Source organism: Homo sapiens, chromosome 10 (genome assembly GCF_000001405.40).
Source record: "Homo sapiens chromosome 10, GRCh38.p14 Primary Assembly".
NCBI classification, from domain to species: domain Eukaryota; kingdom Metazoa; phylum Chordata; class Mammalia; order Primates; family Hominidae; genus Homo; species Homo sapiens.
The window spans coordinates 28,059,924-28,078,946 of NC_000010.11; the positions used below are offsets into that span (position 1 = coordinate 28,059,924).

General features: G+C 38.6%; 1 protein-coding gene and 1 non-coding gene across 15 annotated transcripts in view; both read right to left on the reverse strand.

Annotated features, from left to right (window-relative positions):
- Positions 1 to 19,023, reverse strand: part of MPP7 (MAGUK p55 scaffold protein 7) — a 284,211-nt gene that overhangs the window by 8,931 nt on the left and 256,257 nt on the right. For 13 of the 14 annotated variants that reach the window (NR_134518.2, NR_134517.2, XM_047424647.1 and 10 more), the window contains one exon: positions 9,849 to 9,929. Coding sequence is in view for 11 of the 14 variants with exons in the window: in XM_047424647.1 (XP_047280603.1) it covers positions 9,849 to 9,929 (81 nt within the window). In the remaining 3 variants the exon portion in view is untranslated. Of the gene's footprint in view, positions 1 to 9,848; positions 9,930 to 19,023 lie in introns of those variants that run through there. The other variant, XR_007061944.1, reaches the window with a different exon arrangement.
- Positions 13,314 to 13,455, reverse strand: SNORD130 (small nucleolar RNA, C/D box 130). The gene has a single exon (NR_132973.1). It is a non-coding gene; the product is annotated as a small nucleolar RNA, C/D box 130 (small nucleolar RNA).

Here is a 19,023-nt window from a genome sequence, read left to right on the forward strand (position 1 = left end):
AAAATTATATTGATTTGAAGATGGGTTAAAAAGTTAATTGCATTGTATGTCTCTGCTATTATTTGCTATTTTGAAGGCTCTCTAACCTGATACAAGAGTGCTATTTAAACTCCTGAGGAAAAAAACCTTTTTTTTTTTTTTGCAAATAATATGCTTATTATCTTTATTGATCTTCATTCATTAAAGCAAATCTATTAACCACTAAGTTGTTAGATAAACTCTGAAACTGTTTGACTCTCTTCTTCTCATGGGACATAGTGGGTATGCCATCAAAGTTTTGTTTTACCAGCCAAGTGAAGCCAAATACTTCTGTGTGCTACTCATTCCTCCTTTGCAAAGTCATAAATAGCATCATCTTAGAATACTATTGAACTTCTAACCTTTCAGTAATCTTGCCTAATTATTTATTAACGAACTAAAATGGAGCAGAAAATATAGGATTCATTAAAACGACAACATGAACAAAGCCCAAGGCACTCCAGTGCTGACATGGCAAATGTAAACCCACTACAGGCCATCCTTCCTGCAGATCCCAACTAAAAACTATGGATGCCAAGAAACTACCCGAACACTTTGAAAATAAGTAAAGCAGGTAGACTGTAGAGGGGAGTCAAACTGCACGGGGAGGAGTTTAACTCTATTTTCCTCTTAGCTTTGCCCCAAGGGTGGGAATCCTTCGCAGAGCAGCATGGTAGAATCTGCAGCAAAATGCCAAGAGAAGCCCTAACGTTCTGGTGCAAAGAACTTGGGACGGGGGGTAGAAAAAGTCCTTGTGGGCTGTAAAGTGTGGAGGAAATCCAGGAGAGAAGAAAGCTGGAGAAGAAAATACTTCACTTCTGTGTATGAGTCAACAATAGTCTAAGAATCCTCTCTGTGCTACACACATGTAGTTCAAACTCAAACCAGCACGGCAAAGGCCTTATGAACTGAGAGTGGAATGTACAGGTTTCAGCCTAACCCCTGAAAAAGAGTATCGCAAAACATATCTAAGCCAATGAAGAAAAGGCTTAAAGAACTGAGCTGAGATCTGAACCATGCACACAAGTCTTAGACTAATCCTTGCATCCTAACAGACCCAAATCAATATAACAAAGGTGAGATAAAAGAAGCTGGCAGCTAAAATAAAAACATCAACATTCTCCCGAATATGGTAACAAGACCTAGTGTTAATACAACATTATATTCACAATGTCCAAAATGCAATCTGAAATTATTCAACATGAAAGAACCAAAAACAAAAAAAAACAAAACAAAACAAAAAAAACACCAATTTTCAAGGGGAAAGATAACAGATAGCAACCCTGAATGACCTGGAAGTTAGATTAGACATAAGTCTTTCAAACAGGTACCATAACTAAGCTTGAAAAGGTAAGAGAAAATATACTTGAATTGAACAAAAATATAAATTCTTAGCAGAAGAACAGAAACTATAAAGAAAAAAACAAATAGAAATTGTAGAAATGAAAAATAAAAATATCCAACAGAAACAAATCACTAGATGGGCACAATAACAGAATGACAGAAAGAAAAGCCAGTGAACTTGAAGACAGAACAATAAAATTATATAATCTAAACAACAACAACAACAACAAGATTTAAAAAATATAGATAGAACTCCAGGGACCTATGAGAAAACACATATGTCATAGGAGTACTAGAAGGAGAGGAAAAAAGAGATTGGGGCAGAAAAATATGTTTGAAGAAATAAAGGCCCCAAACTTCTATAATTTGGTGAAATACATAAACTTACCAATTTCAGCAGCTCAGCAAATCCCAAACAGGATACACTCAGAAGGGAAAAATTATGCCTAGACACATTATAATCAAACTATTAAAAGCCAAAGATAAATAAAAAATCTCAAAGCAGCTAGGAAAAAACACTGAACACATAAGTGAATAATGATTTAAACTGTCACAGATTTATTATAAATCATAAAAATAAGAAATCAATGAAATAATATCTTTAAAGCACTAAAGGAAAATACTTAATCAAAATGTGTTTCAAGAATAAAGGCAAAATAAAGACCTCCTCAGATGAAGAGAAACTAACAGAATTCACAGCCGACTGTTCAAAAAAAATATTCAAGGAAGTTTTTTAGGCTGAAGATAAATGATAAAAAGGAAACTTTTATATTCAGGAATGAGGAAAGAACAAATAATTGTGTAAATGTAAACGTCTACTTTTTTCCTGTTAAGTTCATTAAGATATATATGACTATTTTAAAGAAAAGTTATAATATTGTCTGATAGTTTTCAATGTATGCAAATGTAATACATTTGACACCTAAAACAAAAAGATTAGGCTGGGGGAAAGGGTCTTAAATGGCTGCCAGGTTTCTGTATTTTATGTGAAATGACACCAAGTTAAACTGCAAGCAGGTCATGAATGGTTAGATATGCATACATTAATATTCAGAGCAACCAGTAAAAAGCTAATCCAGAGATACCACCAGAGAGTCAACAAGTAGATTAAAATGGAAATTAAAAAACACTAAAATAATCCAAAAGAAGGCAGAAAAAGAAGAAAAATACAATAAAATACAGAAGAGACAAACAGAAAACAAATAATAAAATAGTAGCTTAAATTCAATCATTTCCATAATAGTAAACACACACACACACACACACACACACACACACACACACACACACACACACCAAAGGTTGGCTTTAATATTAGAAAAGCAGTAGAATTCACAGCATTAAGAGAATAATGGCAGACAAAACAATCATCTCAACGTATGCAAAGAAAGCATTTTTTAAAAACTTCGACACCATTCACAACAGTCTCAGCAAACTAGGAGTAACAAGAATGTCCTCAAACTGATAAAGTCAACGTTATATTAATGGTAAAGGATGGAGCTGTTTTCCCCTGAGATCAGGAGCAAGGCAAGTTTGCTAAGTAACAACATGAAAAATAACTCGAAATGGGTCAAGACCTAAATGTAAAACCTAAAACTGTAAAACTTCGAGAAGAAAACAGGAGAATGTCTTTGCAACCTTGAGATAGCAAGGAACTTTTACATAGAACAGAAAAATTACAAAACATAAAAGAAAGATTGATAAATTAGATTTCATCAAAATTAAACACTTTTGCTTTTTAAAAGACACCATTAAAAAAAAAATGAAAAGGTCAGCCACAGACTGGAAGAAAATATGTGTAACACATTTATCAGATGAAGGACATGTATCCAACAGTATGTAAAGAACTCTCAAAACTCAGTCACGAGACAAACAGTCCAGTTTTTAAAAATGGGCCAGGCACAGTGCCTCATACCTGTAATCCCACACTTTGGGAGGCTGAGGCAGGTGGATCACTTGAGGCCAGGAGCTCGAAACCATCCTGGCCAATATGGTGAAACCCCACCTCTACTATAAATATAAAAATTATCCAGGCATGGTGGCACACACACCTGTAATCCCACCTACTCGGGAGGCTGAGGTGGGAGAATCACTTGAACCCAGGAGGTGGAGGTTGGAGTGAGCCAAGATCACACCACTGCACTTCAGCCTGTGTGACAGACCAAGACTCTGTCTCAAAAAAAAAAAAAAAAGTCAAAAGATTTGAACACGCACTTTACCAAAGAAGATCGGGGGTCCCCAATCCCCAGGCCACACCAGTCTGTGGCCTGTTAGGAACCAGGCCACACAGAAGGTGAGCGACAGGCAGGCAAAGGAGCATTACCACCTGAGCTCCTCCTCCTGTCAGATCAGCAGCGGCATTAGGTGCACAAACCGAATTGTGGACTGCACGTGTGAGAGACCTAGATTGGGTACTCCTTATGAGAATCTAATGTCTGATGATCTGAGGTGGAACAGTTTCATCCTGACACCATCCCCTCCTGCCCTGTCTGTGGAAAAACTGTCTTCTGTGGTTCTGTGAAACTGGTCCCTGATGCCAAAAAGTTTGGGGACCGCTGCATAAAATTATGCTAGTCATTAGTTAATGCAAACTGAAGTATGAGATACCACTACGTACTTACTACATTGACAAAAGTTTAGAAGACTGACTACACCAAGTGTTGGCAAGGATGTGAAGCACCTGGAGCTCACATACGCTACTAGAGGTTTGTAAGATGGTATAACCACTTTGGACATCAGTTTAGTAGTTTCTCAAAAAATTAAACCGTATGGCCTCAGCATTCCACTCCTACATAGTTGGCCAAGAGAAACAAAAACATATTTGTCAAAAGACTTGTACAAAAACCTTGTAATAACTTTATTTATAATAGCCAAAAATAGGGGTAGAGGAAGAAACCCCTAAATCCTCATCAACAGGTGCATGGATAGACAAATTGTAGTAGTTCTATACAATGGAATGCTATTCAGCATGAAAAGGGATGAAAAAGAATGAATTATTGATGTAGGAGACAACATGGGTGAATCTTACATTCATTATGCTGAGTGGAAAAAGTCTGGCAAAGAAAAAAGTGGATGCATACTGTATAATCCTATTTAGATAACATACTAAATCATTCCAAATAATCTATTGTGACAGAACGCAGATCAGTGTTGCCTGGGAACAGGGTGGAAGACTGGATTACCAAGGGCACAAGGAAATTTTTTGAGATGGAAACATTCATTATGTTGACTGTGCTGATGTTTTCACATGTGTACGCAGATGCTAAAACTGATGTAATTGCACATTTTAAATATGTGCAGTTTATTCCAATTACATCTTGATGTTATAAAAAAGAATCTGAGAAGTACGGAAAATGTAACTTAATAGAAAAAGTAATGAATTTATAAAATCCAACTAATTTAAGTTATATCCCAAAGCTTAATTCCCTTTTATTTAGTTAGCAAGAATATTTTAATACAATGCTCAGATCTCTTGAAACAGTTTTTCATACCTGTTCTGCAGGTGGTGCACCAAGAGGTAGTGCTAGTCTTTAAAATGAAATGTCACACTCTTTACAGGAATAGCATGAAGTACTGGTGCACTGTCTTCTAAACTGGTACATTGTACTCTATCACAAACACTAAAGTTTTGCAGCAGAAAAATACCCTACTGAGGGTATATAACACGATTAATATCCAAAAACATGAGATATATTAAAATTAGTATAATGCCCTGCTTTGGAGTTTAGGCTTAATATTCATTCATTACTTAATCAGTTGTGTTGTTGCTATTTGCTAGTGTGTTCCTTTAGCAAATAGTAAGCCTAAGTAAAAAGTATTGTTGAAAATCAAATTGAGAATTTTCTGTGCATTGATTTCTTTCTTACGGACAGAGAAAAGATTGTTTTTATTCAATTATGATGGCAGGACACTTTGGTTGAAAATCTGCAACACATGGTTGAAAGATCACTTCCCTGACACACGGCATCCCACAGCAGGGTTAAAATACTTTTAGAACCACATCAAGGGGTAATTGAACAAGACATTTATGACACTGCCACATGCATTTAAAAGGTAATGTGTCTACAACCAAATTGTTTGCTTATCATAATCAACCTGAATTACCTAGGTCTGATGTTATTTTACTGACAAAGAATGTCAGTGCCTAATTGTAATGAGTTCCACAGGAACCTCATGAACTCATTCACAACAAGGAATACTGAATAAGAGATCTGAAATTCTTATGTGAAGGAGATTCCAAGGGAAAGATGTGCATATTACCCACAAGGCAGGCACGACTCCATCACAGCTCACTGAGTACCCACTATGTATACCAGTTAAGGCAAAATAGAAAACAAAATAGGAGCCCTCTTCCCATGTCCCCAAAATATCCCAAAATAGCTGTCCTGGGGAGATACGGAAAAAAAGTTTAAACTGGTACCCTAGTTATAATGCCTTTTTTTTATTTTTAAAGAAAATTCAAGTGAAGTATTGTATGGACAAACAAGTTGTCTAGAACATGGATGCTTTAAAACCTACAAAAACACAAAAACTGCAATATACATCTTTCTGAGAACCACAGAAAGTGATTAATAGATGTGGTTGACTTAGAATGCCCAAATTCTAGACTACAGAGATTTTGGAAGCTATCAAATATTTGATGTCTACCATAATAATTTTTGTTACCTATTTTATTTTAATTTAATGTACAAGAGACCCTTTTGACTGGTTGTATTAATAGTCATTCAGATTTATTGATGATAACCTATACAGCCTTAAAACAATGTTGATGTTGCTTTTCAAGGAGGAAATTTCCCACAGGCTGGGCATGTTGGCTCACAACTATAATCTCAGCACTTTGGGAGGCTGAGGCAGGAGGATCATCTGAGGCCAGGAGTTTGAGATTAGCCTGGGCAACATAGTGAGACTCCATCTCTACAATCAATCAATCAATAAGAAACTTCCCACAGAGGAGCAAAAGACAGAAAGCAAGGGTTTCAGCCACCACTTTCTTGAAAAGCAACTTTGAATGTTTAATATTATTACATGGATAATTTTTAAACATTTCATATAGCTCATTCAGCCACTTTAGCTCGAGTACCTGATTTAGCATCCATTTAAATAATGTTTTTAAATTAAAGTAATTACAAATTCACAAGTAGTTACAAAAATAGTACAGACAGGTCCCATGTAAAATCACTCAGCTTCCTCTTGAAATATTTACATAACTATAGCACTTTAGGAAAACCAGAAAATCAGCAAACTACAGTTAAACTATTATTTCTTTTTAACATTTAAAGCCTGAGTATTATACAATAACTGATATATATACACATAAAAGTGTTTAACACCCCCATGTAGCCAGCACTCTAACAAGAAGCAGAAAATTGCTAGCACTCCAGAATCACCTCTTGAGTTCCTGTTCTAACCCAAATCCTTGAGATTTCTAACAGCACACATGAATGTTGCCTTTATTGCAATTATAAAAATGAAATCACGCTGCCTCATTCATTCTCTTGTGTCTGCCTCCTTTTGTTCAACACATTTGCGGGATTCATTCTTATTGTTGCATGTAGTTGAAGATTGTTCATTCTCATTGCTTTACAGTATTCCATTGTATGCATATACTATACTTTGTATGCATATACTATACTTTACTTCTCCATTTTACTTATTCATTCAAATGATAAGCATTTGAGTAGTTTCCAGTTCTGAGCTCTTATGAATAATGACTAAGAATAGCTCAGTACGTGTCTTTTGGTGAACGTACTTATGCATTTCCATTGGGTGTGCAGTAGGAGCGGAATTGCTGGGTCAAGGGTATGTGTTTGCTCAGCTTTAGTGGATACTGCTACTTAGTTTTCCAAAATGATTGTGTTAATTTACATTCCCATCAGCAATGTGCAGGAGTTCCTTTGCTCCATAACTTTTTCTGGTGGATATGTAATACATGCTTTCAAAAAGAGAATTATAGAAATAAACATCAAACAATACTGGTGGTATAAGCAAAGCAATCATTTTTCTCCAATATTCAAGATTCTGCCCAAAGTATTTTACAAAGCAAAACTACCTGAAATTCTAAAATTACTCTTAAAATATATTCTTCTTTAATTAATTAAATCACGCTGGTTTGATGCGGTATTTTCCAAACATGCTATAAATACAGATACTTGGGCATATCTTTTTATAGAACTCCATGAGAATCTTATCATCAGGCAAGCCAGTGAAACATTACTATATGAAGACATTTTGACATTGATATCTGTCTAAAAGTAAATCAGAGTGAAAAATAACTACTTTGGGGATTTCTTTGGAGAGTCCCAGTCCCACAACCTTTCTGTAATATTGTCAACTTCTATAACAACTTCAGAGGCAAACATTTAAACAGCTGGGTAAATTGAGGCTAAAGTATGTTTGTTGCCCTAGGTCCTTCCATAATATCACATCTCTCATAGGGAGTTACATGGGATAGATTGGCTTATGGATATTTCTCATCTTCAAAAGAAGTCAGTTTTGACTACTTACTGGAATACAACAAAGATAGTCTGTAGTTTTAAAGGATTGCTAGTGTTAATATAGGAGGAAGAACATGAGAACTGGTATCAAAAAAAACTTGGTTTCGAATCCAAGTGCACCTATCATCTATGGAACTCAAGTCAACATATCCTTTCTATCCCTATCTCCTTCTCTGTGAAATAGAGATAATATCAACCATCTTATACTTGACTGGGAAGGCTACAAAAATTAAGACAAACAAAGGAGATGAATACACAGTAGGAAGTTTAAAAATTCGTTTTTTTTTCTTTGTAATCTGTTTTTGCATCTTCTAGGTCTCTTCTATAATTGCTCACCTGTAAGCTTAAAAATTATTTTGTAAAATTTTCTAATAACTTATATATTGCAATTCAGCTTTTGTAATTGAGGTGAATAATTACAGGCAAAAAAAATGTCTAGTTCCACATTTTCATTAACTTTCATCTCTGTTGGTAGAAAGCAGCAGTCCTATAACTTGTGACTGAAAATGATTACAAGCAATAATTTAGAAAAATGTAAAAAGAAGGAACTTGAGGTCACAGAAAACTATAATTTTAAAATAAAGTTGAACTCTTCCAAAACTAGAGAACATCGCTAAGGGCAATATACAAGTAAATTTTTTAAAACAGTACTAAAACTGCTTGAAAAAAGCCAACATTTCAATTTAGCCTTTTAGACAGCTTTCTATTATCAACATATTAAGTAGTCAAATGGCCTTTATTCTGCAGATCAAAATGTTTCAAGCATCACATTTTATTTGTAAGAATGCCTATGAAAACCACTTTTATAAAAATAAATCTAATTCTGTGTACTGAAAAGAAGCTTACCATATTTAAACTATATAGCCATGAAAAGCCCATTTAACATCATCTGCCAATTACTACATATAAAAAGTAATTAAGAAAGGTTTATATTATAATTAAGTCTCCTTCAGCTCTCTGTGATTTGATTCTTCTAATCTTAAAGCTGGTGAAAAACTCTGGAAAACATTAGCACTTATTTTAGGAAACAGAATTGTTAGACTTTTATTTAGAAGAAAATTTGTAAGTAATAATTTGATGTCATATGTGTACTAAAATTCATCATAAAAACCTAAGAGTAGGGAAGCTGTGATTAACAAATATTCTGCCAAAAATCTGTGTAATTTAGCGCAAATCCTTTAACCATTTTTGCCTTGGTTTCCTCCTCTGTAACATGGGGATAATGTCACTATATACTTCTTGGGGCAGCTGGGAGGTCTAGATGAGTGAGTGCTCAGAACAGTGCTTGATACCATACGTGCTTGGTAAGTACTAAGCAATCATTATTAACGAGTACAAAAAGAAAATAGTTACAAAGAATGAAGAAGATCTATTTGATAGCACAACAGGGTCACTATAGTCAATAACAACTTAATTGTATATTTTAAAATAATGAGTGTAATTGAATTGTTTGTAACTTAAAGGATAAATGCTTGAGGGAATGGATACCACATTCTCCATGATGTGCTTATTTCAGCATTTCATGCCTGTATCAAAACACCTTGGCCAGGTGTGATGGTTCACGCCTGTAATCCCAGCACTTTGGGAGGCCGAGGCAGGTGGATCACAAGGTCAAGAGATCAAGACCATCCTGGCCAACATAGTGAAACCCTGTCTCTACTAAAAGTACAAAAAATAAGCTGGGTGTGGTGGCACGTGCCTGTACTCCCAGCTACTTGGGAGGCTGTGGCAGAAGAATTGCTTGAACCCAAGAGGCAGAGGTTGCAGTGAGCTGAGATTGCGCCACTGCACTCCAGCCTGGCAACAGAGTGAGACTCCATCTCAAAAAAACAAAACAAACAAAAAAAAAACTCACATGCCCCATAAATACATATACCTACCATGTACCCAAAAAATTTTAAAAACAAGTTAAAAATTTTTTAAAATAATTTTTTAAAAATTTAAAATTATCGTAAGTGTAGTCATAGGAACACTGAGTAGCGCAGAACTCACGGGGCACTGTCACGCCATAGTGCTGGGTGTCACTGATCAGCAGCTTTCGTTTCAGTTCATTCAGCCCTACTCCCACGGGACCTGAAAAACAGGGTAACAGAAATTCATTATTGGACAAAACACCACATAAACATTTCTGTAACTGACATGAGTCTCTAAGACAGACTGAAAACATGGATCCAGCTTTGCATCCTAAGTAAAGAGATTATTTTCTGTTAACTTGAACTTAAGAAAATGCTAGATTTCTTTTGTTGCTTTTTTACTTTTTCAATTGAAATCCTCACCTTTTCCTCAAAAAGGATAGAAAGATTTATGTTTAAATGAGATATGTTCTAGAGTATTTAGGCTGGATGTGGTGGCTCATGCCTGTAATTCCAGCACTTTGGGAGGCCGAGGTGGGCAGATCACGAGGTCAGGAGATTGAGACCATCCTGGCTAACACGGTGAAACCCCACCTCTACTGAAAATACAAAAAAAATTAGCCAGGCATGGTGGCGGGTGCCTGTAGTCCCAGCTACTCAGGAGGCTGAGGCAGGAGAATGGTGTGAACCCGGGAGGCGGAGCTTGCAGTGAGCCGAGATCGCGCCTCTGCACTCCAGCCTGGGTGACAGAGTGAGACTCCTCAAAAAAAGAGTATTTAAGTATTACCAAATAACAAGCTACCCACAAGAGCCTAAAAACATGTCTACCTAAGAAAATTCAATTGCATAATGCAGATAGTGAAAATGTCAATTTTAAATGTTTTTAAGTGTTAATAAAACAAAACCTTTCACCCTGACTTTATTTGGGATGCAAATTCAGTTACGCATTTTACATCTGCTAAACAATCAGCCACATTTACATGTGCTGAGACCTTTTCCTGTACTATAGACTTCCTTAAGCATTTGAAAACTTGCCTAGACCTTACACACTTTACTCAATCAATGTATACACACTGGACATATATAAGGAGCAAGGCATACAGTAGATTCTGCGGACAACAAAAGATGACAAATTGACTCTGATCTTAAAGGAAGTCACCGGTTAATTATGAGTCCGGGACCAGAAAAACAAAAAACAAAGAGCAGTTTCAAATATGAGTCTGAAATCAAAAGTTAGACAGGCATAAGTCCCCCCTTTCCAGCATTGCTTTCCACCTAAAAGCTTCTCACAATGCTGCCATCAGGGTCCATTTAAGGATGGTGTGGTTCAGCGGGTGACACAAGCTACCACACTGCCCTCAGGTAGAGTCCCATCTCTTCCCATCTGCTATGCCCTCACCTGGTGACACTGGAAGGCAAAGCCAGGGGCGTAATTAGATTTCATTTTATTTCTAAAAGTGTGCCTGTTCCTTTTCCTTCTTGGGCAGAATGAATGAGAACTGAGAACGCATGCACAGTGGCTAGCACAGTGTCCAGGTACTTGACTGTTCACTGCCTTGCCTATGTCTTCTTCCACCCTGAGGAGGTCACAGGAGGCTTTGAAAGAATAAGGTTTTACACCATACAATGGAGAACATGCAGGTGTAAAGAGAAGTAGGGTGGGCATCCCAGGTGGAGGGAAAAGGATGAGCAAAGACAAAGTGGGGGAAGTTGGGGACTGTGCTGTTCTTGCTCTAATGCCATTTCTAGGTCCCTGACCCTTGTATAAAAACACCTGTCCCGAGGTGGTCATTCACTACCACCTTCAACCTTTCTCCACACTGCTGTCCAGTATCAATTCTCTGGCAACTTTCCCTTTTCTGTAAGACAGCAACTCTCAATTCTCCCTCTTATAATAAATATGCCATAATACCCCATTTATATCCTGAAATGGAATTAATTGCTAATATAACTTATCGACATAATTCTCCCTTCCAAATTAATACATTGACCTAACTAAAAATAATATATGAAAGGAGAAAAAATAATTTATAATAAAGCAATATGTATTTCAATATGTAAATTCTTGGCATGACTAGAGCAGAAAACCTAACCAAGTCAGATGTTTGCACCTACTTATAATAAATAAGTTTGGATTTAAAAGATCAGGAGCTATTCTGCACAAGAAAGAACAGGAAAACAAAAGCCCAGTGGTACATGTAAATCCAGGAATAAGAACTAGCATTTGGATAGAAACCACAGATCAGACTTCCTTGAATATGATAAGGAAAGAAGGAAACAACTAAGGATAGCATGTCAAGGCTATCGAAGTGAAGAAAACAATACAAATGACCTGAGCTTACCCAAGAGTAGTATATGGGGCCTGGCGCGGTGGCTCACACATATAATCCCAACACTTTGGGAGGCCGAGGTAGGTAGATCACTTGAGGTCAGGAGTTTGAGACCAACCTGGCCAACATGGTCAAACCTTGTCTCTACTAAAAATACAAAAATTAGCCAGGCATGGTGGCAGGCACCTGTAGTCCCAGCTACTCGGGAGGCTGAGGCAGGAGAATTGCTTGAACCAGGGAGGCGGAGGTTGCAGTAAGCCAAGATTGCACCACTGCACTCCAGCTTGGGCGACAGAGCGAGACTCTGTCTCAAAAATAAAATAAAATAAAGAATAGTATGTGGGATGAGACAGTGCTTCAGTGCACCAGACAGTTTGCTTTTCTAGAAACCCCACCACAGGCTGCATCATCTCCTCAGTCCTTGAAAGTCTAGCACAGCATGTTGAAGTAATGTGGGATGCAGTCAGATCTTTGTTCTATAGAAGGGTCAAGTCTACATCCCTCTACCCATCAGCCATTTTGACATCAAAAAAAGTTCCCTAACAATGTCCATAATGCACCCCAGTGGGCAGTCCTGCCCCTGTGGAAACCACTCTCTATGACTTTAGTACCTGACCCTTGTCATTCTCTGCACCCCAAATCCTGCCATCATCTTGGGTGACATCAATATCCATGTAGAAATTGCTTCCAAATGCAGCCTCTGACTTCCTGATCTCTGGTGACCTCCCTCTCTACTTCACTTCAACCATGACATGGCACGCCTGGCCTTTGCCATCACTAGGAGCTGATTCACTATGAAAATATTAAATCCAAATTCCCCAGTATGGTATCATTCTCTGATCTTCTTGGATCACTCACTCAGTTATTCTTCCCACACCTATGGTCATATAAGGACATTTCACTTCTATGATTTTGTTAATGTCTTCATCTCTCTTACACTTGTCCTTTATCACACTTGCCAATGAAACCACCCATCTAAGACCAACCCAATGGCCTCTCTCCATACCCACTGCTGAGCTGAGTGCAGAAAACCCATGCAGCCCCTGGACAGCAGTAACATCACGCATTCCTGGTCTCCACGCATAAACCAGGACCTTCATGTGCTCCAGCAACCATTTTATGTTTTCCTTATCATCTGGATTTCTTAGATCCCCATGATGGCAATTTCGACTTTTCTCCAGGCTCCTCTCTACCCACACCTGGGAGCCTCCTGGTCACTTCTCTCTTGTATATCCCTAGAATCAACCACCAAAGGCTGCCAATTTCACCTCCTAAACATTCTTCAGATCTATCAGATCTATGCTTCCCCATTGCCACTGCTGCCACAATACCCCTGTTTTGCCTCCTGTCCCGAAACAGCCTTTTATCTGCCTTACATCTGCTGTCCTTCCATATTATCTAGCATCACCTGGCAGCCAGAAAGGTCTTTTCAGGAGTTATTCTGGTCCTGTTGCAACCATGCTTGACATTCTTGGATATGTAGTTTCCAGTGGGTCTCCCAAAAAAGATTAAAATCTTTACATGGAGCTGAGGGGAGTGCCTCACACCTGTAATCCCAGCACTTTGGGAGGCCAAGGCAGGTGGATCATTTGATATCAGGAGTTCGAGACCAGCCTGGCCAACATGTCAAAACCCTGTCTCTATTAAAAATACGAAAATTAGCTGGGCATGGTGGCGGGTTCCTGTAGTCCCAGCTACTTGGGAGGCTGAGGCAAGAGAATCGCTTGAATCTGAGAGGTGGAGGTTGCAGTGGGCCAAGATTGCATCACTGCACTCCAGCCTGGTGACAGAGTGAGACTGCATCTCAAGAAAAAAAAAATATTTTTTTTTTACCTAGTCTACAAGGGTCTGTGTGATCTGAACCCTGCCCTGTCTGCCTGCAACTCTCTCCTTTACTTGAAGCTGAGAGGAATTCTGATCTATCCTTCAGAGCTTGGCTCAAACAGTGCTTCCTCCAGAAAGCCACCCCTGATCCTAGAGGATCAGGGTTCCCACTTTCATGTTCCACAGCATCCTGTACATCTCCTTCATAATACTTAAAAATCATAATCAGACAACTAGCCAAAACACTGTTTAATGGCTGTATCACCCACCAGATAGAGGCACCATGAGGGCAGGAGTATTATATTGTTTACCATCCCCACCAAATAAATCCTTAATAAACATCTGCTGAATGAACAAATAAAACATTTAGTGTTGTTATCACCACCTCATGCTCAGCAGAAGACCTCAACTACTTCAGAAAACATAGAGGCCAACACATGGAAATGTTTTCAAAGTCCTTCCTACAAAGTGATGCATCTAGATCCACCTAGAGCAACCTTTTTTTTTTTTAACTTGCTTATTTTTATTTTTGAGACAGTCTCACTCTGCTTCCCAGGCTGGAGTACAATGGCGTGATCATGGCTCACTGCAACCTCCGCTTCCTGGGTTCAAGCAATTCTCATGCCTCAGGCTCTTGAGTAGCTGGGATTACAGGTGTGCACCACCATACCTGGCTAATTTTTGTAATTTTAGTAGAGGCAGGGTTTCGCAATGTTGGCCAGCTGGTCTCAAACTCCTGGCCTCAAGTGATCCACCCACCTTGGCTTCCCAAAGCGCTGGGATTACAGGCATGAACCACAATGCCCATTCTAAAGCAGCCTTTATCCTTCCTTCCAGCCATATACTCTCACATCTTCTCTTAGAGATTGCTCTCCCTGAATCTTCACTTCTCTTGCTTCTAGCTCCTTTCTATCAGCACTTAAAACTGATAAAGCCTCTCTTACCTTAATACAACAAGAACAACAATAAAAGCTCCACATTTCCCTTAACTCTAAATTCTTCTCCAGCCCTTAATTCAACAGCCCTTCATGTTTCCACTTTCACGGGCCATGGTGTCTTCCACTCTTGCTAATATCTTCAACTCTTTTACACACTGTCCTTTTATCACACATTAGTCTGTTCTCACACTGCTATAAAGAATACCTGAGACTGGGTTATTTATAAGGAAAAGAGGTTTAATTGGCCCACAGTTCCGCAGGCTGCCTGTGAAGCATGATTCTATCCTCTGCTTGGCTTCTGAGGAGGCCTTAGGAAACTTACAGTCATGGGGGAAGGTGAAGGGGGAGTGAGGTGTCTCATATGGCGGGAGCAGGAAGAAGGGGAAGAGGGGAGTGCCACACACATTTAAACAAACAGATCTTGTGAGAACTCACTATCACGACACAGTACCAAGGGGAAAATCTGCCCCCATAATCTAATCGCTTCCCACCAGGCCCCACCTCCGACACTGGGGATTACATTTCAACATGAAATTTGGGTGGGGACACAGATCCAAACCCTATCACGTGCCAAGGAAACATCCCATCTAAGATCAACCCATTGGCCCCTCTCCATACCCACACCTGAACCACAGAGTGCAGAAAACCCACACAGTAGTTCACCCTTCTCTCCACCATCCTGGTTTATGGCCCCGAAACTTCTCACCAGCACCTCCCACTTGTCTTATCCTGTGTCCACAGTCAAGTGTAAATTTTTTTACAGGTTTATATAGATTGCACGACGCAAGTTACTATGATCTCTCCTCTTAATTCTTGCCACTCCTTCCTTGCACTGTACGCTGCAGCGCCATGAAATTTCTCCTGCTTCCTGAAACGTGGCCACTTCTCCTTGTGTTGGGTCTTCATCACGTGCTACTTGCTCTTTTATGCACACTCCTGTCTTCTCACCTGACTAATTCTCGCTTGTTGTTTAAGATTCAGCTCAGATGCACCTTAAGGAAATATTCTCTGACACTTTACATTTGGGTTAGGTTCCCGAGTTCATGTGTTTCCTGTACTTCCACTTCCAAGGAATTATCACACTGCATTGTACTTGCCTGCTTCCTTGTCTTGATTGTCTAACAGACCGTGAGTTCTGTGAAAACAGGAATGCCTTCTGCCTTATTCAACAACGGCTTCCCTAGCTGGCAAATTGAAGGCCCTAGTTAGATTATTTATTTAAATTATACTCAATAATGATGCTATTATGCAGGTGAAACTTTGTTGAATGAACCAAAGGAGTGTGAGAGAAAGTTAAAAAGTATTTGCCCCTAGAACGTGTGGATATGAAAATTAGATAATCTGCTCAAGTTAACCAATAGAAGTTGCTGGAATTCACATCTGAACTTGGCTCTTTATCTTAAGATAAAAGGGGAGGTGATGGATTCACTCTAGGTACAGTGAGTTTACAGAAAGAAAATCTTGCTCCCAAAACTCAGACAAGAGCTGCCATGTAACAGAGAGGACAGGGCTAGGGTTCCATTGTGAATGTATTCACATCAAGGTAAAACCTGAGACTGCATTGACAGGTGAGACTTCTGAGGGAAAGGGCGAAAGACATAAGTGCTTATTGGTTGTCTATAATATGTCAGGCACCATGTAGGGGCTTACATATTTACCTACTTTAAAGGTTCAAAAAGTATTCAGAGTAAGTTCTAAAACTCACTTTTTCAAATAAATAGAGAAAATACAAGGAAAACAAGTGGTGTTGCAATGAAGGTACCTTCTAAGTACAAATAACGCAAACCCAATTATATATGTTCCCACACACATGCGCGCACACACACACACACACAGAAGCAAACACAGCAAAACACTATTATAAAATCCAAATAGAGGCCAGGCCAGGCCCAGTGGCTCACGCCTGTAATCCCAGCACTTTGGGAGGCCAAGACAGGCGGATCACCTGAGGTCAGGAGTTTGAGACCAGCCTGGTCAATATGGTAAAACCCCATCTCTACTAAAAATACAAAAATTAGCTGGGCATGGTGGCACACACCTGTAATCCCAGCTACTTGGGAGGCTGAGGCAGGAGAATTGCTTGAACGTGGGAGGCAGAGGTTACACTGAGCTGAGATGGCGCCATTGCGATCTAGCCTGGGTGACAGAGTAAGACTCCGTCTGAAAAAAAAAAAAAAATGCAAATAGAGTGTCCCAGCCTGCCTTGTCCCTCAAGACAACTAGAACTACAGGAAGGGATGTAAATTCACCATTTCCTTAGAAGGTCTCAGCTCCGGAGTGACTGCTAGAGTGTGAGATACTTTGCCAAGTGAGATAGGTCTAGCACTTCCTTTCTTATTCTTAAAAATCTCTAACTACAAAAAAAAAAAAAAAATCAACTCTCTAGGGAAAAAAAAACTAGGTATATTTGAATTAGTGGGAAAAAATATGCCATCTCTAATGTGATATCCTTAAATTTTGACTATATTCGATTTTGGGCCTAGGTAATATGCTAACTTTATAATCTAACCCTTACAAGCAAGCTCACGACACCCATGTAGGGTGCCAAGAACATTCAGAGGCAAATGACTTTATTTGGAAAATTTTCCCTAAATTAGGTTATTCTAGGTCATCATCTTCAAAGGTAGAAGTATCCTCCCAAGAAAGGTTAAAAATAGAGACATAATTTCAATCATTCTTACTGCCAAATTGTCCAGTGGGCCTACAAACAGCATTTTCCCAGTCAGGCCCTTGGATCAATCTGCCATCCCCACTGGAGAAGTTCTAGAGTCTCCCCTTGACTTTAAAAGACCACAGCTCAGATGCACCATCCTGTCCCGTATCCTCTTTCTAGGGTTAGGCCTAAGTTCACAACATTTTTAGTTGTCTGGTTTGTATTTGGAATACAAAATCTATTTACATTCCAAGCAATTTAGGGATGCAAACTGAGTTAGGTTTATTCATACGCCTCTGCAATAGGATAGCTTCATTTACCCCTTCGATAAAGAAATTTTTATCACAATTGGTGAAATACACTTACACGGGCACATATAAGTAGATTACTCTGTAGTTCGTTTTCAGCTGAGCTTGCTAATGATAAAGCGAAGAAGAGAACAGAATCTAAACAGCCCATCTTTAAATCATAGACAACAGGCTGTGGCATAATTATGATGATGACATAGTGAGTTCTTTTTACATGACAGGCATGTGTGACATGGTTCACATACACTGTTACTCATCCTCAGAACATCCCTGCAAGAAAGGTATCATTATCCTCATTTTACAGATGAGAACACTGAGACAATGAAAGGTGAGGTAATTTCCCAAAGGTCACACATCTGGCATGTGGCTTAGCTGGTGCTCAAAAGCCTGTCTGTCTAACTCAAAAGTCTGCATTCTTTCCACTCTACCTATGATCTTATGAAAAGAATATGCCAATAAAACATGAACTCGGGTAGCTGTTGCTCTGCTGTCTGTTTATGGCTGTGAATTGGAACTTCACGGACTCTCTCATCCCCAGTCCACGCAATCCATACTTCGTGATGACTAATTATGCTCCAGGAATAGGCAGAGATTCAGGCTACAAAAAGTGGCAGAAGTCAAATCTGGTGATCTCAAAGCTCACTCTGTGCAGAATCTCTGAGAAGTCTAATATAAACTGAATGAGGATGATGTGCAGACCAGGCCTGGGCCACAGACACTGGGCATATGTGTTGGATTCTCAATTCAGGACTGAGGAAAATCAAACACAAAGATGATATATGTAAGTAAAAGCCAAAAAGGCACATTAAAAATGATTTTGGAGCTTATTAATCTGGAATTCAGGCAGTAAACTAAAGTTGGTGTGTCTCTTAGCTTTGAAAAGAATGTTTATAGCCAAACCAGAAATGTAAGTAAGTATTTATCTGCTTCATCTAAAAAATATTTCATAAGAATTTATAAAACCATGTTGGAAAGGAAGAATAAAGCTGTGTGTATCAATTTGTATTACGTGAAGGTCTTGGGAAAAATGTGTGTCAATTGGATAATTAAGATAATTAGAAAAGCATAATACTACTTTAAATTCCTTTTTATGCATTTAATTAGTAACTCCTTATTGAAAGTAAGCAAATGTGTTGCATGGTTTTATAAAAAGTTTCATTCATTTTAACCAAAGTTACGTAGCCCATTTAAGGTGTCGATAAAATGTTAATACAATTTCTATTTAAGATTTTAAATTTAAGAAAACAGTCACTGTTAACTA